Source organism: Homo sapiens, chromosome 13 (assembly GCF_000001405.40).
Source record: "Homo sapiens chromosome 13, GRCh38.p14 Primary Assembly".
Lineage (NCBI taxonomy): Eukaryota > Metazoa > Chordata > Mammalia > Primates > Hominidae > Homo > Homo sapiens.
Window position 1 is genome coordinate 60428280 of NC_000013.11, and position 24154 is coordinate 60452433.

Sequence of the window (24154 nt, forward strand, 5' to 3'; positions counted from 1 at the left end):
AAGACTGTCTCTAAATAAAGTAACATTCACAGATTCCCAGGCATTAGGACATAAGCATATCTTTTTGTGGGCCACCATTCAGGCTACTATGAAGAGGTATGGGGGATGTAGTCAAATTATGTTTTCTAAGTTAATATAGGGGCCAAGGGAAAATTTTCCCTTCTGCCTCTGAAGGTTTGCTGAAGATCAGCTGAAGAAAGGCCGATTAATAGCAGAGGCATGCAAAATTAATTTTATCGTGCATAGCACAAGGGAATTACAAGAGAATGATTGTTTATACAATAGTGCAGTGGGGGTACAGAAGCTTATATACTCTTCACAGAGGAAAGGGAGATGTGGATAATTTTAAGGTGAAAAGTGATTTTTAGGGGAATTCAATGGGCTTGGAGAACATACGTCTTGAGACATACGTCCTCGTGCATCCTGAGACAAAGCCTTGTGGGCCCACAGAGAAGACAGTGGTTCTGTCCAGGTGTGTTGACAGACTTCAGTCTTTATTCCTGCAGTATGAGTTAATGAAAACTCAAGGAAAGGACCAGTGGTAATTTTCTTCTTTGAAGAGTCTGGAGTTTAAGCAGATAAGGGAGTATCAGAGTAAAGCTTCTTCTAGTATCTGCCAGTCTCCAAGGGCCTTTAATTTAAAATAATCAGCATACCAGGGTGCCATATTTTGGGGTGAAATTTCCTGGTCTCCTTCAATAGAAAAAAATATCTAATTTATTTGCAGCATTTCTATTTCAAAAATGTAAGCAACACTAAGCACTTTGTATTTAAGATGCATTTTAAAGAAATGGAAATGAGAATTACTAATTCATATTTATCAGCTGACATATATATGGGACTATTTCACTCTTTTGACAAAAAATTTATTGTTTAGTATTTACCTGTTTAGTGACACATTTAAATGGCTGCCCTTTTTAATTGTAATATTGTGCTTTTTATATGCCTCTTTCATTTTTTACTTCATTTTAATGTACAGGGAATCGTTATGCTATTAGATTGTAAGACATATGATTGCATATACTAGAAACAAATAGGTATTTGTCTTAACTGCCTATGATAATTGAAGTAGATTTTCATTTTTAAGAGTTTGAATGACATTAAATAAATTTTAAATGTAAATTGTAAAATGGCTAATTTTTCTCTGTGCAATATAATTTTAAACTTTATTGCTTACTAGCTCTTTCTTGACATTATTGTTTTAAATTTTGACATAAATGGCAGGTTGAACAAAAACAATAGCAGTTCATTTTGCATTAGAAATTCTGTTCCAGGCAGAAACAGTTGCACAGTCTAATGGAATAACTTACTTTCTTATTGTTAAAAAACTTTCAATTGTAAAACTGAATGATTTAAACAAAATAAATAATAAAGGTATTTCCTTCTTTCTGACACTTTTCTTTAGTTCTCAGTGAACTCCATGTGAGTAGCCTGCTAGAAATATGTAGTTAGGCTTACCAGTAAGGAAGCATATACACTTTTGACTATTAGCTGTAGCCTTTGAAGAAATTCCCTTTATCATTAATTTTATTCTCTTTCTTTCTCATTAGAGAAATTGTATTCTCTTTCTCATTAGAATCCAGATTTTTGAATATCATTATGTTTTGAAAATATTTTGTAGAATAAACAAGGGCACCATGTTTAAGAAGGAAGAAAACTAATACTTATTTAGCACCTACTGTATTCCAAGCATATGCTAGGTATTACATGCTGTCTCCTCATTTATTCTTAGAAAAACTCTGTAGATCAGTATTTTCAGTACGGTCTTTTTCGGCAAGGGTAAACTGAGGCACAGAAAGATGAAGTAAATTGACTAGGGTCCCACATGTATTGAAAGGTAAGGCTGAGATTTTCATCTAGTTTTCACTAGTTTCACTAAAAAGTGATAGTCTCTCCAGCTACTCATGAAAATGCCTTCCAATTTTTGTAATACCTTACATTTATAAATAGCATTTCTTATGGAAACTTAACCAAGTATGTGATCTCCTTGGGGTTAATTCTGGAAGGCCTCACCTTGAGAGACCCTCAGCATGGACTTTGTAGGCAGCAATGCTATGAGTGCAGTAGTCAGTGTAGTGTTTAGGGCATTAGGCTTCATGTAAGCCTTTTGAACTGATATATGGTTTTATAGCCACTACCTTTTTGCTGAGAAAAAGAGGACAGAAATATTAAGTAATCTCACATCTTAAAATCTGATTTATTAAAAAGTAACCCCAGTTCTGCTTCTGAATTAATGTATGAAAATATAGAATTAGAGGAAGGCTGTAAATTATAACCCCAATGAAAGTAAAAATATCTAGGCCTTCATTTTATACTTTTAAATTTATGTGGAGTCATGGTTTACAAAGATGAATAACAACATAGTTAGGTTACCATTGCCACTATACTATGTAATATATCAATTATGGGATTTCAAAGGAATTATTTACAAATTTTTACTTGCTCAGCTGTTACAATTTTTTTAATACCAAATAAGCATTCTAGGGTGAATGCCTTCATGGATTGGTTTATGTATGGGGAAAATATTTTAATATTTTGAATATGAGTCATAAAATAGAAGTTTGTTGTTTATTACCTATCTCACGATCATTTTAAAATCGTCATGCTGTATTTTGATGTCACAGAAAAGCAATTATTGAAATAATGCTGAAAATACTTTTTGTAACTATTCTACAGCAAAAAAGCATTAGTCTGTAATAATTTATGTGTACTTTATTTTTATAAAATCATCTATTTCCAGACGATATAGATGTAGAAGAGACGGGAAGAGAAAATTGTCTTAATATATCTAATGGTGAGGTATTTCTTGAATGCTTACTAAATGAGTTTTTTTTAAACCCTGAGTGATCTTTATATCAAACACAAATTCAAAATTATAGTAGTCTATTTTATTTTCTTTGTTATCCCTACTCTCCAACAAAAAACAAATGTCAGAAACCTTTAAGCTAGTTTAGTATCTCTTCAGGGTCTTAGCTTCAACAGGAGTATAATATTTTACTTGTGAAACAAGGTTGTCATCTAGTGGTGCTTTCAAGTAGTACAGCTTTCACAATTAGCTAGCTGATAGTCTTCAGCTTTTTAAAGGAAGTGCTTAACAAAAAGCTATCTAGGTTTAACTTTTCAGAATTTAAACACTTTTGAATACTGTTAAATTAGATATAAACTTACAAAGGATTTTCCCTAGAAATTTTTTAAATTTCCATCTCAATTTTTAAAATAAATTTTTTGTTTGGCTACTGAAATACTGATATTTGACCAGTGTGGATGTTAACCATGATGATATCAAGGCATTTCATATTGTTTTGCATCATCAGAAGTTGTTTATTTAGAAGAAGATTCTTAAATAGTGTTAAGTAATTAAAAATTTTTTTTTGCATATTAATCCTTTCACCAGCCTGAGCAACAAAGCAAGACTATCTTTACCAAAAAAAAAAAAAAAAAAAAAGGTGGAACTAATGTATATTTATGATGGCAAAGAAATCATAAAAACTAAAAACTGAAAAAATAATGCATATTAATAGATAGTTGATTAATGAGTAAAATAAATCTTATATTGAAAGTAGTTTACTACATTAAGATTAACACTACATGCTGGTACTTAGAAGTACTTTAAATAGTACGTACCTTTATTTATCTGATCCATTTATATATAAGCCACAGAGAAAATTAAATTTTTAAGCTAGCATTGATTCAAGTCCTGGTTTAATTGTTGGAATACAGATTGTGGTATTCAATGTGGGATAGGAAGTGGCTACTTTGCCTAGACAAGAAAAGAAAATGTGGTAATATTAATAGAAGAGGTACTTAGTTGTTAAGGGAAACAAAATAAAAGACCTCTTTTTTCATTTTCCACCATTTTTCATAGTACTCACTCCTCTGAATTACCTTTTGTAGAATTCTGATCCTTCTGTTTATTATGCTTAATAGAGCTTTTGCCATGGAATTCATGGATTCATTCAACTAACTGCTGGTGTTCCATTTTATATTCTCATGTGCTATCTTTCCAATATATCTGTAAGCTGTATTGAATATATTGATTTTATTTTTAACAGGTTATCTGAAGAAAATCTTGTGCCCCAATTCTTACTAGCATTTTTACCTTACTAATCTTGTTATTCATTATGGCAAAATACTGTATTTTCCCAAGTTATATTCATAAACAAGAACTTTCAAGCCATTTTCCTTCTGCCCTAGAGGAGGGAATTGGCAAGTTAATTCTTTCAGTGTCTCTGACTAGGTATAGTATAGTAAGAGTCTATAAGAATAATATATAAAACAAATTTTTGGCAGGTGTATTACAATCAATTTACACTATGGAGAGAGAAACAGTTTAGGCAGAGTGAACAGAGAGATCTTCGTATGGGTAATTTTTAAAAAATATCTTTACAACATTGAAGTTTTGGGAATTTGCAGTAGGTCAGTTACTTCCATATTTGCTAAGATCAAAAATATCCTTTAATAGAAGTTATTTTTTAAATTATCTTTTATGTTTTTTCCCTCTCTTGTCCCACCTTAGCTTGGGTAATTGGGAATTAGTTATCTTTATTTTCTTTGTGGCTAAGCAAGAATTCATTTATCAAACTCCCATTTTGGTATTTGGATATCATGTGCGGGGGCTAGTAACCTCAGTGTGGTAGCAGATAATCAGGTGTAGGTTAGAACCCCAAAAACTGCATGAAGCCATTTGATTTGGGTTTTATTCAGGGGCAATTAAGAACACCATGTACCAGTCACTGTCCAGATATCTTCTTATTTTTTTTGACATAGTCCCTATCCATTTGTGAAGAATGTTTTCACTCTTGGTTTTCTCATTGGCATTTTAAAGACTTTTCATGTGTCATCAGCCCAGTTTATATCAATGTGCAATAATTCTGTATTTTATTATTTCAGGAAGTCAAGTTGCAGTTCAGATTTGAATGGGCATTCATTATTTCAATGGGTGGCAGTGGGTAAAAGAGAATAAAACTTTAATGTTTGCTTTTATGGCTCACTTTCTGGCCAATTAAAACATTCCTCCTCCTTAAAAATATAAGTAGTCCTCAAAGTCTGAAGTAAGCATGGGTTCTTTATATGTCCAGTTTGTAAAATATTTATGTCAATGACCAGACTGAATGATTTGATACTTTTTAGTGTGATGTAAACAACTCACCAGAGAACATTTGTTACAGGCATAATTGTGTTCTTTGCTCTCCCAGTGCGTACAAAGTGACCTAAAAGATACTTGGTTCTTTTCTTGCTTGGAAAGGAAGTTGGCTATGAATGTTATACTATCTGAGGTACACTTACGGCACAACACTGTATGTCAGAGACAACTTGGAAGTGAACAGGAGCAAATAATTTAAATAAACTAATGTGTTTAATAAGTACAAAGTACATGTACCACATGCAGGCTGAGCCCTGTTTTGTTTGGCTTGTACACTGCTTTACGGAAATCTAAAAGCTAAAAATCAAATCTGACGCAGTAACTGCTTTACTAGTCCTCGTGCAGACATGGCTGCCCCCTTTAGCTCAGTCAGCTGATGTGTAGTTTGCCTTGCTCCGTTTCATTATCTATACATTATAGCCAGTGAGTAAGTTAGATTCACCGATTTTACCTGCTTTCAAAGAAATGGATCAAAAGAAAATTGGCCCTCTTCTTTCCTTACTGATGGTAAAGGGTGGTAATGGAGATCTACTATCTGGAACAATGAGTTTAAAACAATAGTGTTTGTTTTATCACAGTTTTCTGCCAATTGAGATTCTTGAGCTATGGTTTGGACATGTCTGTTTTATATGCCAAGTGACTTCTGAACACGACGTGAAGACAGTTAAGTGATTCTAAGACGGAATTTTGACATCTCATAAATAGAAGCATTTACTAAAGGAAGCATTTTCTAAAATCCCTTTTTAAAAAGTTTTGAGCACTTAAGGCTGGGTGTGGTGGCTCATGCCTGCAATCCTAGCACTTTGGGAGGCCGAGGTGGGCGGATTGTTGGAGCTCAGGAGTTGGAGACCAGCCTCTGCAACATGGTGAAATCTCATCTCTATAAAATAAAATAATTAAGTGGGCATGGTGGAGAGTGCCTGTAATCCCAGCTATTTGGGGGACTGAGCCATGAGAATTGCTTGAGCCCAGGCAGTTCAGGCTCTAGTGAGCTGTGTTTGTGCCACCGCATTCCAGCCTGGTGAAAAGTGAGACCCTGTTTAAAAAAAAAAAAAAAAAAATTGAGCACTTACTAAACTGCGGTGACTTAAAAATTGCATTATTTGAAGGTAAAATTAGTGAGAAATATTTGTCTGTTCTGTGAGTATAATGCAGAAATTTAGCCTTTTAATGCCCTGCTTGTCAGTAAAATGTATTCAGATGTTGTCATAGTTTAGATTAGTAATAAGTGGTTTTATAATATTAATGTCCAAAATCTCCATTAGAGAGTGAAAAAAAAAAGTGTGCTTTTGCTGGCTGTTTTAGTAAACAAGAACCCTCTGGTGTCAGTTTCTTCTTTTGTATCAATGCCCTTGGGTTTTAGGTGTTCAAAGATGGCACATGGGAATTGATGATAATTCTCTTCTCTCAAGGTCCACCAGGTGGGTGTGCACAGGGACCGTAACTGGAGTGCCTGCTCCACTTTTCAGTTGCTTTCTTTCCTGATTACCTCAATTAAGACTGGTGAATCCTGTGTTGTGTTGTTCTTCAGTTACTGTGTTACTGAAGTTCTTGAAGCACATTTTGGTCTTTGAGTTTTTGTTTTTTATCACTTGTTTTATTCATTGGTAATATTGGAGTTTTAAATGTTTATAAAAATGAAAAGATTAATTTGTAAATCCCAAATTATTGTTAATTTAGGCTCAGTCCTTCTGTGACAATCGTCCAGTATTAACAAAAGGATCAGTAAGATATTATTCAGGGAGAGCTGTGAATGGGTGCCCTGTTTCTTGAAAATTATGGAGTAAACCTATAAGGCTTAAGTTTTTTGGTTTTGTTATGTTCAGAAAACCTTTTATAGGCCTTATTATTTTCTTATTTCAATAGTTTTTTTGGGTACAGGTGGTTTTTGGTTACCTAGATAAGTTCTATAGTGGTGAATTCTGAGATTTTAGTGCACCCATCACTCAAGCAGTGTACACTGTACCCAATATGTAGTCTTTTATCCCTCACCCTCTCCAAACCTACCCCAGTAGAGTCCCCAAAGTCCATTATATCACTCTATATGTATTTGCACCCTCATGCCTTAGCTCCCACTTACAAGTGAGAACATTAAGTATTTGGTTTTCCATTCCTGAGTTAGTTCATGTAGAATAATGGCCTCCAGCTCCATCCAAGTTGTTGCAAAAGACATTATTTCAATTCGTTTTTGTGGCTGAGTAGTATTCTATGGTGTATATATGCCACATTTTCTTTATTCACTCTTTGGTCGATGGACACTTAAGTTGGTTCCACATCTTTGCAACTGGCAAATTGTGCTACAGTAAACGTGTGTGCATGTGTCTTTTCATATAAGGACTTCTTTTCCTTTGGGTAGATACCCAGTAGTAGGATTGCTGGATCAAATGGTAGATCTACTTTTAGTTCTTTAAGGAATCTCCATACTGTTTTCCGTAGTGGTTGTAGCAATTTACATTTCTGCCAGCAGTGTAAACCACATCATGACAACATCTATGGTTTTTTTTTTTTTACTTTTTAATTATGGCCTTTCTTAGAGGAGTAAGGTGGTTTCTCATTGTGGTTTTGATTTGCATTTCCCTGTTGATTAGTGATGCTGAGCATTTTTTCTTATGTCTGTTGGCTGTTTTTATATATCTTCTTTTGAGAAATGTCTATTTCCATCCTTTGCCCACTTTTGGATGGGTTGTTTTTTTTTTTTTCTTGCTGATTTGTTTGAGTTCCTTGTAGATTCTGGATTCTAGTCCTTTTTGCATAGTTTGCAAATATTTTCTCCTGCTCTGTGGGTTGTCTGTTTACTCTGCTGATGATTTCTTTTGTTGTGCAGAAGCTTTTAGTTTAATTAAGTTCTACTTACTTTTTATTTTTGTTGCATTTGTTTTTGGGGTCTTAGTCATGAATTCTTTGCCTATGCCAATGTCCGAAGAGTTTTCCAATGTTTAGAATTTCTAAACCATGAAAATGTTTAGAATTTTCATGATTTCAGGTCTTAGATTTAAATCTTTGATCCATCTTGAGTCGATTTTTGTATAAGGTGAGAGACGGGGATCCATTTTCATTCTTCTACATGTGGCTTGCCAGTTTTCCCAGCACCATTTATTGAAAAGGGTGTCCTTTCCCCAATTTATGTTTTTGTATGCTTTGTTGAAGATCAGTTGGCTGTATTTGGCTTTATTTCGAGGTTCTCTATTCTGTTCCATTGGTATCATTGCGTATTTTTATACCAGTACCATGCTGTTTTGGTAACTATAGCCTTGTAGTATAATTTTAAGTCTAGCAATGTGATGTATGGGCCTTGTTTGAAAGAAATCACATATTTGACTTATGTGGATAAAGGCAAGTTTCCAAACCCTTACAACTCTGCCTTTAGAATTTTTGTTAGACTTTACCTTTTAATATTTTGTAGGGATGGAATATTTTTATTCTTCTGAAAACTTGAATATCTAATAATTAGTTGATATTAGTTTCCTGATCTTCTACGATGCAGAAGGGAACAGCATGACTGCTTTTATCAACTGAGTTTTATACCTGTTCTTGTTTAATGTACTTTGGAGCTCACCAATTGAATTTGTCTAGTTCTGCTTTTGTCTGTGTGAGCTGAAGTATCTAGCTGATTAGGAAACTGATTTGGATAGCTACTGGCTTTTTTTAATGAGATTATCATATCACTAGTATCAGCATTAATTGTTTGATAAATTAAACTTTTTTTTTTTTTTTTTTTTTTGAGGCAGAGTTTTGCTCTTGTTGCCCAGGCTGGAGTGCAATGGCATGATCTCGGCTCACTGCAACCTCTGCCTCCCGGGTTCAAGCAATTATCCTGCCTCAGCCTCCCGAGTAGCTGTGATTATAGGCATGTGCCACCATGCCTGGCTAATTTTGTATTTTTAGTAGAAACGGGGTTTCACCATGTTGCTCAGGCTGGTCTCAAACTCCTGGCTTCAGGTGATCCACCTGCCTTGGCCTCCCAAAGTGCTGGGGTTAGAGGCGTGAGCCACTGTGCCCAGCTGAAAATGGTGTGTTATAATGGAAAGAGTGCTGAATTGGGAGTTAGGAGTCATTTTTGTTTTTAACTTTGCATCTTCTAAATTTGTATTTTTGGGGCAAGTTTAATTTTACATCTCTAGGACTCCTTCATCTGTAAAGTTGAAGAGGTGAATTTTGGTTATTTTTAAATTAAATTAATTTATTATAATATAAATAATCTATTATAATTTAAATTAATTAATCTATTCTAGTTTATCTGACATCCTATAATTCTTTAATTCTACAGTTTCCTTTCTAGAAAACAAAATATTCTATTAGTCATTACATACTATTTCCCTCTTGTGTAGGAGCTTGGAAAGCTGTGTTTTTGTAATCACTCAATCAGAATTTAATTTATCACCCATATCCTTTTGTGTACTGTTGCTTTCTAAAATTGGTCTCAACCTATACTTATCTCTTTTTTCTTCTCCATTTTCCAGCCAGAAAGCTCTAGGATATTATTCCTAGAAGGTGCTTCACACTTACTCACTTCCATGTTTTTGATTACACTATTCCTTTTCTGTGTTTTTCCCATCCCACAGCCACTTTGAGCTCCTATAACATTTTTATAGTTATTTTGGCCTTGTATGATAGCTGTTTATGTATTGTGTTATACTGTATAGCAGACTGTAAACTTCTTGAGGGCAGGTGTTTAGTTTTCATCATTTTACTAATCTTGTTACTGATTTCACACAATACTTTTCACATAAGCGGGGCATAATATTTATGAAAGTGAATTTATAAGATTATTAATTAGAGTTACAGATACAGTTGGACAATTTTTCATTATTCATAGTGAAAAATTAACAGGATAATAAATTATTATAGCCATTTTGAGTTAAAGCAGTATTTTAACCATCAAAATTGACTGCAGATATTTGTATTCCATGGTCACTTATATACTGTCATTCCTGCCTACCATCTATTCATTCTTACTGACTCATCGATATATTTGTATTTTCTCTGTCACCCATTTAACTACTTGCCTTCATTTATCATTGTGGTTTAACAGTGTCATGGTCTTAAACTTTTAATAGTACCTCATTTTGTTAACATTCTTGGTTTGACTTAAATATATATTTTTCTGACTTTTATCGCCTTGGTCTTGCTCATTGGCTTATCTACTTTAATCTTCTATTGCTCTTCTGTACTGTTCTAACTATTCACATTTCTTTTCACTTGCTTTTTTACTTTGGAGAAATTATTCTCTACTTCTTAAAGGCACTTTTTTTTGGTTGCTATTTCTGGGTAAGGTTTACTTTGATAAGTATCTTAGAATCAGTCTAGTGTTGAGAGTTGATGGTGGAATTGCTGTTCATCAAAAATGAGCTTGAGTTAGATCTCTTAGACTAGCAGTCTTGGATCCTTTTAACTGTGGAAGAATGTCTGCAATGGTGATGGTACCATTAGCCATTTGGTTAAAGGGGTTGATACTGATTATAAAAAATGTGAGATATTAATTGGGGTTTTTACAAGTGGATTTTTGATGGTTGATTTTAGAATTGTTGAGTTTATCAAAGAGTTTCAAAATGTCCATGGGTATGGGTAGAGACGAATTTTTTTCCTTCAGATTCAGTAATCTCTTTACTCTTGAATTAATTGTCTCTGACAGATGCATGGCTGATTTGGACTGGATAAAAGAAAAAAGGGCAAATAAGACAATGCGTAAAAAAAACTGAAAAGAGATAGGAAAAGTAAAAGATGTATTGTAAAAAGTTGCCTATCTTTGTGTTACTTGGAATTAATAGCCTTTATTGAAGGATCCTTGAGAACCTTATGTGAAAGAAAGGGGACTTGAGAAGATAATGTGAGAAAGTCCAGAGAGAAGTTCTGCTGTACTCAGTTTAAAACAGTGTTTATTTTAGTTTTATTTTTATAACACATCTCAATCTCTTTTTAAGATCTTATGGTATTAACAGATACTTAAGTCGAGATTATATTTGTATAATAGCAAAGAGCAGCTTATACATCCCTTAAGTATATTGACATTTAAATAGCTTTTCTCAGAAAGCGTATGAATAATCCTATTGACACAATAGCTCTTTAAGGGTACAAAAGAAAAGTATGCACTGTTCATCTCTTCTATAAGACATAGTAAATAAACAGGGAATCCATATCCAAGACTCTTTCCCTAGTATTTGTAGCAGAAGCACTTTATAGTAGAAAACAAAATTGCATGTAGACTTAAGAATTTTGGTTAATTTTGATTTTAGATAATATTAAGCCATTTATTTTATTTTAACAGGTATCTTTCAGATGAAGGCATTGAAGCTTGCACAAGCTCTCCAGACAAAGTCAATGTAAATGACATCATCCTGATTGCTCTCAATGTAGGTTATATTTATTAACTTGTAAACATTTGAAATCTGGAAGCTGTATTCATAAAAAAGTCTCAGAGTAAATTGGGTTATATGATAACAAATATAGAGAACATCTTTCTTATTTTGTCCATTTTAAGTTGTAGTGATGATGTTTGTTGAATTTAATAATCTCATATTAGCAAGTTATTAATATCTGTTATACAGAATCCAATGAAAAAGGAAAAAATGAAATTAACATCCCTTTTTTTCACCCACTGATCAGTCATAGACTTTTTTAACATTTACAATAGCTACGTAATAGTAGTAAAAACTGACTATTCATTAAAATGAATTGCCATTTAATTTACATAGAAACTCTAGCTAGGTTATAGCTTTTTGACAGTGGTATTTATTGTTTCAAAATAACTTTTCATGATGATAGAAATAATACTTATTGTGGAACATTTCAGAAAAAAACAGAAAAGCAAAATAAGAAAATTAAATCTGCTTATAATTACTATTAATGTTTTAGTGTATATTTCTTTTCAACTCTTTGTCCACCCAACCCTCTAGCTGTTTTTTTTTTCCATAATTGTATTGGCTTTTGGGTTTTTTCAAGAGTTATAAAAGTTGTTTGAAATAAAAATGTAAGTAAACAGGCTGGGCATGGTGGCCCACGCCTGTAATCCAAGCACGTTGGGAGGCCAAGGCAGGAGGATCATGAGGTCAGGAGTTCGAGACCAGCCTGGTCAATGTGGTGAAACCCCATCTCTAGCATAGATACAAAAATTAGCTGGGCGTGGTAGTGTGTGCCTGTAGTTCCAGCTACTCGGGAGGCTGAGACAGAAGAATCGCTTGAACCCAGGAGGTGGAGGTTGCAGTGAGCCGAGATCATGCCACTGCACTCCAGCCTGGGCAACAGAGTGAGACTCTGTCTCAAAAAAAAAAGTAAGTAAACAAATGTTCTTTTCTCATTCCTGCAATTACCCTCTGATTGTTTTTCTATGTAGCTTTATAATAAGCTATAAACAATCAAATGTATGTACTACAATATGTGGTCAATGAAATTCCTAAGAGAACTATAGTCTGACAAATCCATCATATCACTGCAAAATCAATGTAAAGCAGAAATGATGGGCACAAGGAACATTTAAAACATAAATAAATGTATAAATCTAACGTTAAAAAAGTTACTTAAATTTATATTTATAGAATTAAACTTGGGTTTAAACAGATAAAATTTATGTCCTACACTGAGTCATCTTTTTTTCAGCTTCTTTGAATTTTACTTAACAAGACAAGTAAGATCATTTTATTTTGGTTTCTGAGCTAAGTATTTAGGTTTTTAATAAATAAAAGACTAATTTTTTAATAATAAGCATTAGCTAGAAATTATGCATGTTATTTATGACTAAAAACTGTTTGTCTTGCACTGAAATTAGTTAATTCTATTGCTTAAAAATATTATAAAGGACTCTTCTTGTTTAAGAAAAACTTTCTACAGATTCTAGGAAAGAGATTTTATGACAATTTGCTGGGGTTTTTTTTTATTTATATTCTTAGGTAAATAGCAATAAACTATAATTGGTATGAAAATTTGAATAAAATAAATCAGGATGAAGTATTTGTGCTGTGTTCGTAAGAGGTGCATGCTGACTATTATCTGAATGAGTTAATTTGTCTTTTTTATTTTCCCTGAAATATGTGGTTAAATACTGCAGTCCAAAGCTATGATGCCATATGATAGGAAAAAAAACCATTTTGATTAGGGTGAAGCCTATACCAGACAAATCATCTATTTTTCCAAATTTATCATCTTTTAATAAAATTTAGGCATTTGTAGTATTCTGTTGAATTTTTTTCAACTTTTGAGTGATTGTGGGAAATTAACCACGAGTTGAGAAAGACGTGTATTATTGATTCTTATTGTGCATATATGTACGTACCCACACATGCATAGCTAATTATATATTGGGAGGATAATCCATGAACAAGTTTTCTTCTCTTCTTTCTATGGGGTAGACACTGAGCTTGTTCCTTTATCTGACAATGAACACTGCAGTAACATGTATATAGTGTTTCTCTCCAGGGAAGCCCTCTGAAGACTAATACCCAAGGCCTTTATTGGGCTGCCCGCAAAGGTACCAGAATTTCAGATCCCTCCCAGAAAACAGATGTCCACCATAAATCATATTGTTTATATGAATAATCCATGCAGTGAATTACATTTTTAGTTAGGGAGTGGTCCAAGTGCAAAGTCCCTAGCTGCCAGCCTAGGGCTAACCTTGTAAGCTGGCCTTTCTAAAGATAGCTGCCTCAGATCTGCTATGTAACTTTTAGGCTTAGCTTTTTATGTTGAAAAGGAATGTTTTTAATTTTTGCTTTTTAAATTGGGGAGTAAGAATATTAAGAAATGACATTGAAATCCAGCATGTAAGTTTTACGTTCAAATACTGGAATTATTCAGAAAAATATTTAATGATAGACCAGTCTTAAATTACTGATCACTATCCATTAGTAAAAATTTAAAAACAAATTATATTTTTATTTCTTTTAAGATTTTGTATAATATAAAATGATTCACCAAGTAGATATTATCTTGCATTTACTTAAGTAAATAGGGATTTTATGTGTGTGTGTGTGTGTGTGTATTTATGTGTGCATATGTATGTGTGCGTGGGTAGGTAGATGCTTTGAAAATTATTTTTAAAGTTTTACAGGCTAAAAGTTTTCCTGTATTATTATTTTTTGTTGTTCAATATAACAGCATTCTTGGACCCAGTCATCGTCCTAGCAATCCTGATACAATGGCATCTGAATAATAAAGTTGTCTTTATAGTGTGAATTTAGGGCATTTAAAGATTTGGTAGATCATTTTCATCTTGCTAAAAATACATCAAAATAACATTTGTATATTTAAGGACACATACTATATATATGTATGGCACTTTAGAAATTATGTAAACTTTGAGCGTGTAGTCTTTTTTTAGCCTGACAACAACTTTGTGAGATAGGATTGGTGGTGTTTTTCCATTTTATAGAGGAGTAAATTAACTGGGTTTAGAGAATTAGTGACAGTGTCCTAGATCATATGATTCTTTAATTACCGTTGGGATGGATCAAAGTTTAGGATTTTTGTCTAGTGCTCATTTACTTTACAGTGATGGCTCATTTTCACTTGAATTAAATTTCATAATTATTGATGAAAACCAGAAATGAGGGACCATGATATATTATAAAATTTGTATGTATTCTGTTTCTCATTCATATTTAAATATTTCAGCTTTTGGGTGACTTCAAAATAATGTAAATGTTTTCATGAACTGTTAGTTACATTATTGATATGATGGTTATGTATGTTCAGATGATTAAAAAAAGTACATGTTTTATACTCACTAAAATAAACAGAATGGCTAACATTTATTGAGTGCTTACTCTGTGCAAGTCATTATACTGAGTGCTTCACATCTATTAATGTTTAATTATAAAACCGTCTTAATATAGGGAAGGCTGGTGTAAGAAAGTATTTTTTTACACTTATGTTATTCAGTACTTTCCAAGTGAAAAGGCGTACAACGTGAGGTACGGTTTATATTTCTTTTAATTCTGTCATTGGATTGAGGTTGTAAAAAGCATAAGTCTAAAGCATTGTTACACATGAGTCTGGATTTGGCTCTTAATTTGCCATGCAGTTCTATTTAGTGAGTTTTACTTTGAGTGATCCCTGCATTACATTAAGGAATAAATTATGAATCACAGTAGTAAAAAACTGGAAAGAATCTGTAGGGATTATACAACTTATATTCTCATTTCTTAAGCTGACTACATGTGGATATTTCAAATAGGAGGATGTTTTATTATGGTAGGTGTTAAAAGAAGATGGTCCTGCCCCTCTGTATGTATTCATTTCACATCACAGTAATTTTAATCATCTAGTGTTTTCTCCTTAAGTCTAACAAAAATTTTTCCCTTATAATTTATGTGGTTAAATGCACTTTAAGTCTGTTTTCTTTTAACTTGTTCTTAAGGTGATGAAGAGCTACTGTTTACTATATTATAAGGAAAAATAAAACAACACAACTTCAGTTATTATGCTAATCTCACTATCTCAACCATCAGGATAATTTATTAGTTTAAATAATTGGATCTTTTTTATGAGTACTGACAGTTTTCCTGTGAACAAATCTCTTACCATTCCTTTATATTTTCACTTTCTAAAGAGGACACAGTCGTAAAATATTCTGCTTTTTATGTAGATTGTGTAGTCAGAATTTCCTTTTCTTATGTCATGAATGCTATAGCCTTGTTTTTGTTAGTCCTTATATTTTCCTTGTTGAGTTACAGGTACTTCTGCATTTTCATAGTTATTTGTTTACCACCTTCTATTTCTGTAACTTGTTTAAGCAAATGAAATTACTATAGTAAAGGTTACTATAACTTCTTTGGTATTCCAGTGGTATTGTATCCTGGGATATTGTATGTTATATAGCTTTATGTTACAGATATCATAGCCTATAGGGCGATATGTTTTTATGTAATGTCAAGGTTATATGAGATTCAGTTTTAAAAAACATACTATGTATATGTATTCAAAAGCTGTCATTTGATTTTGGAATGTGATATTTTTTAGTAAGATCACAATTTACATAAATTAAGTTTTGGATTTTAATAGAGAAGAGTTAGTAAATAAAAAGGTTACCTAAAGAAATATGACCAGGATTAAGGCCTTATGTGTTACTGTTCATCTTACTGGTATACTTTAAACAACGTATTATGGGACACTGTTACTTGAAAGATTGATAATACATGTAGATCTCATGACCAGTTAAACTGAATTTTTGTTTCACAAACCATAAGTAATTTCATCTTTTGTTCATGAGGTTAGATTTAAATTTACTCTTTTCTATAATTCCATTTTAATAATAATATTTTTATTTTAGACAGATCTGAGAACAATTGGCAAGAAATTCCTCCCCAGTGACATCAATAGTGGAAAGGTAGAAAAGGTAAAGAAAATCAATAACTTCTTACATTAATTAATTTAGTTACAATAAATATGAACTAAATTACTGGAATTACTTTTTGTCAATAAAGACTGCAATTGCAAAATACTCTGGAGGTGAACAGGTCACAAAGTCATTGTTATGGTGACTTCCATGGAAAATTATTAAGAATTCAACTTTTGGTGACTTTTCAACATTAAAAAAAAAAGCAACCTTTTGTTTCAGAATTTGTAACTATGGCATGCTTACATGAACGGTGAGACTTAAAACCAGATGTAATTGGCACTCATTACAATGACCTTTTCTTACCTTTCAATTTTATTTACCTTTTTATTTTAGTTACCTTAATAAACTGTTATGTTTATTTAATGAACTTATTATATACAAATATAAGATTATGAAAGTATTAGGAGCAAGTTGGTGAAGCTGTGCATTTGTCTATTGCAATCATTTTGCAGTACACACATATGTATTCGTGTTATGAATTTTTTTGCGTCAGCAAACTTTAATTATATTTTTACCTAAACATTTTATGCTGCAAGTTAAAGTCCATGTCTTCTTTGTCTTTCATCAGGAGAAATGGAGTACATCTGGTTACCTTCCTTTGTAAATAATTATATACGTGAAGACATAAATGTCAGTGCCACAGGTTTCTTTTTGCTAAAGCCATCTATCTTGATTCCTTTGTTTATTTTAGTCTCAAGCTTTACTTTTCATCTCTATTGTTCTTAGAATCCTCTCCAGTTTCTTTACATTTCTTTTTCTTTTGGTTATAGTGGCTATCTCAGACTTCAGTGTGCACCAGAATTTCCCAGAGGTCTGGCTAGAACACAAATTGCTGGACCTCAAACAACCTCTACTCCCATCTGAGTTTCTGATTCAGTAGGACTAGGATGGAATCCAAGAATTTGCATTTCGAACAGTTTTCCAGGAGATGTAGAGTTCTAGGAAGGATACTTAGAAAAGTAGGCAACAATCTTGACTAGGTGTGTTGAATGCAACAAATCTCTATAGGAAAAGTAAATAATATCAAAGCAGTGTCTGTACATCCTTACATTATTTTACTTAAAATTTTGAAGCTTTCTGATTCTTGGTTTTCTGCTTTCTCTGTGTGTCCTAAAAAGATGCTGAGAACTCACCTCTGCTACAAGCTCATAGAATAGTAGTACAGAGATTCTTGTCTGCTCCCTTCACTCTTTCAGAGTGTTTTTACTTTTAAAAGTTTTGCACAGTGGTCTCTTTAAGATTTCCTTTGAATGTAGCTAGCAAGAAGAAAAATAACTTTAAAACTTTCTGATCTAGATTATTATGTCAAATTTTATCTTTTAAAACATTCTTAATGCAAATGTAACTTTTCACATGAAACAAAAATTTGATATCTCTGCTTGCTCTTCCTCATTGATTATATTTTTTCCTTTCATTACATACTTCCAACACAATATTAATAAACTAATAGTTTTCTAGAATTATTATTCACAGAATTATTATTTTTTCTGAGATGGAGTCTTGCTCTGTTGCCCAGGCTGGAGTGCAGTGATATGATCTCAGCTCACTGCAACCTCCACCACCTGGGTTCAGTTGATTCTCCTGCCCCAGCCTCCCTAGTAACTGAGACTACAGACAGGTGCATGCCACCACGCCTGGCTAATTTTTGTATTTTTTAGTAGAGATGGATTTCTCCATGTTGGCCAGTCTGGTCTCAAACTCCTGACCTCAAGTCATCTGCCCACCTCAGCCTCCCAAAGTATTGGGATTACAGGTGTGAGCCACTGTGCCTGGCCTTCTCACAGAATTATTCTTATATGTCATATAAGAATATATATTATTCTCACAGAATTAATAATTGTCTTCACCAGTATTAATGAAGATGTTTTGAAAAATAATTTAAATAAACATTTTAGAAGCTGGCACACAGAAATTACTCATTTGGTTTGTCTTTAGCTAAAAATCCATATGTTATATAAAAATGTAACTATCTTAAACCAGAGTACATATTCAAGGAATATATTTTTGATGTGAATGGAATTATTTTGGTTTCTTTGTTAGTAAAATAAGACTAATATAGTAAAAGCTCCTTATTTATGTCTTCATTGGAATGCTTTTATTAACCAGCATTTTACCATTAATGATGACTATAAATGCATGACTCTAGAATCAGTCACTACTGATCCGTTACTTACTAACATTATGTAAGTTATAGTTCTTGTTTAAATCAACTTTGTTTGAATCTGTGCATAAGATACAGGACAACAGTTGGCAAACAGAATATTTGAATAAGTAATCTGCCTATCTCTTGACCATGCCAGATTTTGGTATAAAATGATATTTTCTAGTTTTCTTTTTATATTAGAAAAGAGTGAAAGAAAGAGCTGGGTTATCCAGTGATCTTTCAAATAGGGCGTACTAAAAACCAATGTTCCAAAAACTAACTTAGAAAACTTAAAATATACAATAGACTATTTCAAGAAGCAGAGGAGGCATGGTTGTGGCATGTTTCTGATTGAGGGTGGAGAGGCATTAAATGATACGGACCAGGAACAGATTAGAGACATCCAGACATAGGGTCATTGCCCTGGATTTAAATCTTCTTTCTCCTGCTTATTGGTTTTTGTGACTTTTCATAAGTCAGTTAATCTTGCCAGATTTTAATTTCCTTATCATTTAAATACTACTCCCTTACAACATTGAAGACATAAATGAGATAATACTAAATCCAGTACAATGCATATGGCAAGCTTCGAGAATTATGAGCAATTTAGGATGGTATTTTTATCTTGAAAGTCTAAGAATATGTGAATCCTTATTATGTCAGCTAGGTATCTTGTTACTGAGAGATCTTCAAGGGGATTCAATAAATAAGGTAAGGCAAATTGGTAAATCATTATTGTCTGGGTTTTGGCCCCAAACCCCATGCAGAATTCTACTACTTGAGGTAGGTTGGTCTCTGGTAGAATGAAAGCAAGCTAAAACCCCTTCTCTGACTGTTTCTACTAAGTTCCAAGCCCATCTGATATTACCATTTCTGAGAGAGAAAGCCAAAGGAGAGTGAGGATTGGAGAGCATTTGGCCCAGTATTTAAGAAGCAAAGAGTTAAAAAGCAACATGTTGCGGGGAGGAGGGTGTCATCTTAGTAGAAACTGCCTCCATTAACGTTGTGTGGTGCCTTTGAAAGGGCCTCACCCATGTATTTTCCAACCACCTTGGAATCTCATTCACTAGGCCTGAGGCTCAGTACAATGCACTGGAGCTTCTCCAAGACATATCAGTAATCTTTTTTGGAAGTAGATTAAAGGAGTGTAGAGACGAGTCTTCAAACTTCATCTCCTGAAAGCCCAAAGTAAATGATCACACAGTGTGTATTATTATTTTTATAGTTAATAAGACTTAGATAATGCTGTTTTCAGCATTTGGGAACTTGAGAGTGGGAAGGGAGAATGGAGAGCTGATAGATCTGTCATCAGGTAAGAAAGATTGTAAGTCTGCAGTTAGAAGACCAGCTAATCCTGGACATATTGAATTTACAGCTCTCATTCTAAGACGCATCAGAGGCCTTCAGAAAGGCGTCGTCCTGAAGCTTTGAAACTGAAGTCTTAATAATTGCTACTATCATTGATTATTTTGGGAGAAGACAGAATGGCAAAAAGTAGAAGTAGCTTTATTACTAATTAATATAGTAGTTTTGCTCAGGTTCTTTTCTCTTTCTTCCATTCTCTTCTTAACATACTTTTCAATTTCTGTCTTTTCTCCACAAAGTTTCCCCAGAACCTTGATGCAAAAGTTTCAGAAAAATTTAAAAAGTGGTGAGAGTTGGACAATCACAATTTTTTCCAGGCTTCCAGATTTTCTTATAGGCACTTCATATTTGATTCAAAAGCTGTAAAAATTGTGACTGGAAGGAAGTGTGGTAGGGAAGCCATATTATGCAACTTATTTTCTGAGTTTTTCAGGGCATGCTTTGTTTTTCTTGGATATTACAAAGTCCTAGGACTGCTGTAGCAGCTTGTAAGCTAAAAATTATGGAAAAAGTCATGATAAAAAGGAAGTATAACTGTTTAATATTCTTCCCCAATTTTAATATTTTGCTGTAGCTTTTTAAACCTAGGCGTAAAAGTTAATTATAAAATACAGATTAGTTTCAAAATACTTTCTTATCAATTCAGCTACTCGAGGACCTTATGTACTGCTATGGAGTCCTAACTGTACAGTCTTTGAGTTCTGTGTTTATTTTTTCTAAGTTCTAAGAATGACAGGTTGTATATACCTTTTTAAATGTAAAACTATGAATAAGACCTAATTTTCCCAAGTAGGAGTGACTGGTCTCAAAACCTCAGCAATACTGACATCAACCACAAGATGGCTTCACTGCCTTAAAATTCAAAGTGAAGGTTCTCTTGCCCTTGGATAGTCTAGAAATCGGATGTTTTTAAAAAGAAAAGGAATTGAAAAAAGTTTTAACTTTTGATTTAATAAAATAATATGTTTCCTATATGTTAGTCTGTGTTAAGTAATACAATTTGTTTCTTTTAGTGAGCTATATATTAAAATTAAACATCTACTTGTATTAGAAAAAATGGATTACTAAAACTTTCATGCTTTATTTACAAGTCCTTATTGGTAATTACTAATAGGACTTCTGTGGAGTTTAAATAGATAACTGAAAAATAAACTATTCAACTTACCTTTTTCTGTTTTTGGTTCCAAGGAACAAAAAGTTAGAGAAGTGAAGAATAGAAATGTGGAAATTGTCAAATGATACACTGGGAAAAGTGTTGCTTTTGGCTGGTAGTCCCACATACTTTCCTTGTATTCATTTGCTATAATTACTTTGTGATTGAATACGAGCAACTTATGTGCCCTACTGTTATTTTGAGGGTTAAATTGAGGCTTTTTACTTTCAGGGAATCTTACGTTTGCAAAAACCTATTCAAGATTATGTTGTCAATTTCTTAATTATAAGGAATTTATTAAATGTTTTAAAAATTCCTAAGGGGTAGATCTTCTAGTAAATATACAACTATATTTATAATTTAGAAAGTTTTAATTTTATTATTTACTTTCCACTTAAACTCCTTTGCTGCATATGAATATCATTTGAAAAATTTGAGATTAGGATTAGGTACTCCCTTCCCTAAAGCTATTTCTTTCAATATTCTTGATGCTTTTGTCATCTGCTTCCCTCTTGATCTTTTTTGGCACAAGCACCTACCTTACCTAGGAGAACCCTGGTTTTTAGTGAATTCTAATAATTCTTGTTCTTGTTTTTCTTCTGTCATTTGTTGAGTACCTATTCTATGCTAGGTCCCATGTTAAATAATTTATATGTATTATCTATACAATATTCAGAACAACACAGAAAATATAAACTATTATAGCCTTCCCTTTTACTTTAGAGATAAGAGAATTGCACCTTCCCTAAGATCACAGTTTTTTGTTGCTAGAGCACCTGAGTGTCCTTCCCTCAGCTGTCAGACAAACTGCTATTTATTTTTCAGATTCCAACTGAGGTGTGACCCTTCTCTTCTAATTTTCTTGACCTCTTTTGAGCAGAATTAATTTTTAAATACGAATATTCTCATTGCCCTTTATACCTACATCTGTTTTTAGTATGTAACAAATATTATCATACTTTTAGAATATGCACTACAAAGACAGGCTTTGGCATGAGATAGATCCGAATTGGAATTCTAATTTGCCTCTTACTGACTGAGTGACCACTGGTAAAGTACTTTATCCTCTGTCCTTAATTTTCTTATTTAGTAAATACAAATAATCCTAGGGTACTTTATATTTCTGGAGGTAAATTAAAGAACTTATGTAAAGATCCTGCTATATTTTCTGGTATGTATCTAGGAAGTGCTAAGTAAATTATAGTTAAAGCACTAGAAAATATATTTTTTTAATCAGACGGTGTCTGAATGTGTATTTGTGCCAAGAGATAGGGATGTAGAGATCAAGATAGCCTCTGTCTTATTGGAGCACATAGCCTAATGAGAGATTGAGAAACCAGCCGTGTCAATGTAGTGAAACAAATGCTATGTCAAAGGTGTGTACAATAAAGGGGCAGCTGTTTCAGTTTAGTGAGGGTATTAGGTTGCTTTTCTTGCTAGACTGTTAGCTTTTAGAGATGTGATTTTCAATGAAGGAATAGTGGGTAGATGCCCCATATCGGGCGTATTTAAAATCTTAGGTTATAGCTCTACGGTACATACACACATACACACACAGATCACGCATACACACACACTATATTTAATGTTTTCTATTACACAAAAAGCTCCTTTGTAGTGGAAACTAAAGAATAAAAAATAAAGCTTGACAGATCTTGACTGGTAACAATACATGGAAGATAAGTATAGTGGATATTTGTAATTTCTAAAACCTGAATTATCTCCCTGTGGGGGAATTTCCCATTTTAAGAGTTTTGGTGGTAGAGAAGAAGAAAATGCCAGATACTTTTCTCCCAGCCTCCTTTGCAGCTATGCTAGTCAGGTGTAGCTGCCTTGGAGTTGGGCCAGTTACACACAAAAAAGCGGGACCTGTGGAGAATCCTGTCAGTAATAGTTGAAGTTGCAGCAAGATTGTTTCTGGAGTAGTGGCTGCAGGAGTGCCAGAGTAAGTGTCCAGAGCCATTGAGATCTCTGGTACAAGAAATAGTGTTAGATGCTTGCCGTGTGCTGGATCCAGCTTGTTCCAGCTCGTGAAGTTCATTGTCGGCATCTTTTTCCAATTTAGAGTGCAATAACCTCCAGTTGACGGTTGTGGTTGGCCATGGAAATTGGCACAAATTACAGATTACAGTGGCTTTTCCCCTGTCCCTCTACCAGAAGTATTTTACCAACACACCTCTGCACACATATAACAGTTTCCCTAAGGAATATAAACAGGAATGGAACTCTACTGCATTGTGGAATTAAGCCAGTATTCAACTTTACAAGATAATGCCAAATTATCTTGCAAAGCACTTGTATCAACTATGTTACCTTCAGTATTGTATATGAGATTCAATTGAGCCATATCTTTTGTGGCACTTGATCAAAATTTTCTAATCTTGTGATTGTAAAATACATTATTCTTCCTTAGGCTATTCTCTCCCCTGCCCATACAGATTTTAGAATCAAATGATTAAGACTCTTAAAAATATCATGTTGGAGTTTTGATTGAAATTGCATTGAATCTGCGCATTAGCTTAAAAACAATTGACATCTTTATATGATATGATATTACCAGTGAAATGCTGGTAAAATGCTTCTCTGAAGAGCAAAAAATAGCCCTGACACATAGCATTTGCCACTTTCTATGGTATAAATATTCCCTGTTTGGCTGATTGTAAGCTATGTTATAAAATCACTGAACCGGGAATTAGGAAGAAATGTACATAAAAAGTTTTTGTGAGCTTGCATGAGCTGGCTCCAGCACAACCCTGGGTATATCTCTTCCTTTATTTTTCCCATAAAGTTTTATAATTTATTGGAAGTATATGGGCTGTGCATCTTTTGTAAGCTTTATTCCTGGACCTATCTATTTTTGTTATTGTAAATGGTGTTTAAAAATTTTTTAATTACTATTTCCTCTGTTACTGGTACATGGAAAGGCAGCTGATATTTGCATATTGATTGTAATTCTGTCACCTGCCAGTTATTCTTACATTATTATTCTTATATATTCTATTCTTCTTCTTATTCCAGATA

General features: G+C 33.3%; 1 protein-coding gene and 1 long non-coding RNA gene across 15 annotated transcripts in view; one reads left to right on the forward strand and one right to left on the reverse strand.

Moving 5' to 3' along the window:
• TDRD3 (tudor domain containing 3) overlaps window positions 1-24154 on the forward strand; it is a 178347-nt gene that overhangs the window by 32747 nt on the left and 121446 nt on the right. For 11 of the 14 annotated variants that reach the window (XM_047430685.1, XM_024449417.2, XM_005266556.5 and 8 more), the window contains exons 2-3: window positions 11409-11493; window positions 16404-16469. In XM_047430685.1, the coding sequence (XP_047286641.1) occupies window positions 11409-11493; window positions 16404-16469 (151 nt within the window). The remainder of the gene's footprint in view (window positions 1-11408; window positions 11494-16403; window positions 16470-24154) is intronic. The other 3 variants (XM_005266560.3, NM_001146071.1, NM_030794.2) reach the window with 1 other exon arrangement.
• Window positions 607-3941, reverse strand: LOC124903178 (uncharacterized). The gene is made up of 3 exons (XR_007063814.1): window positions 3886-3941; window positions 3625-3760; window positions 607-693 (listed from the first exon to the last, which is right to left on the reverse strand). It is a non-coding gene; the product is annotated as an uncharacterized LOC124903178 (long non-coding RNA).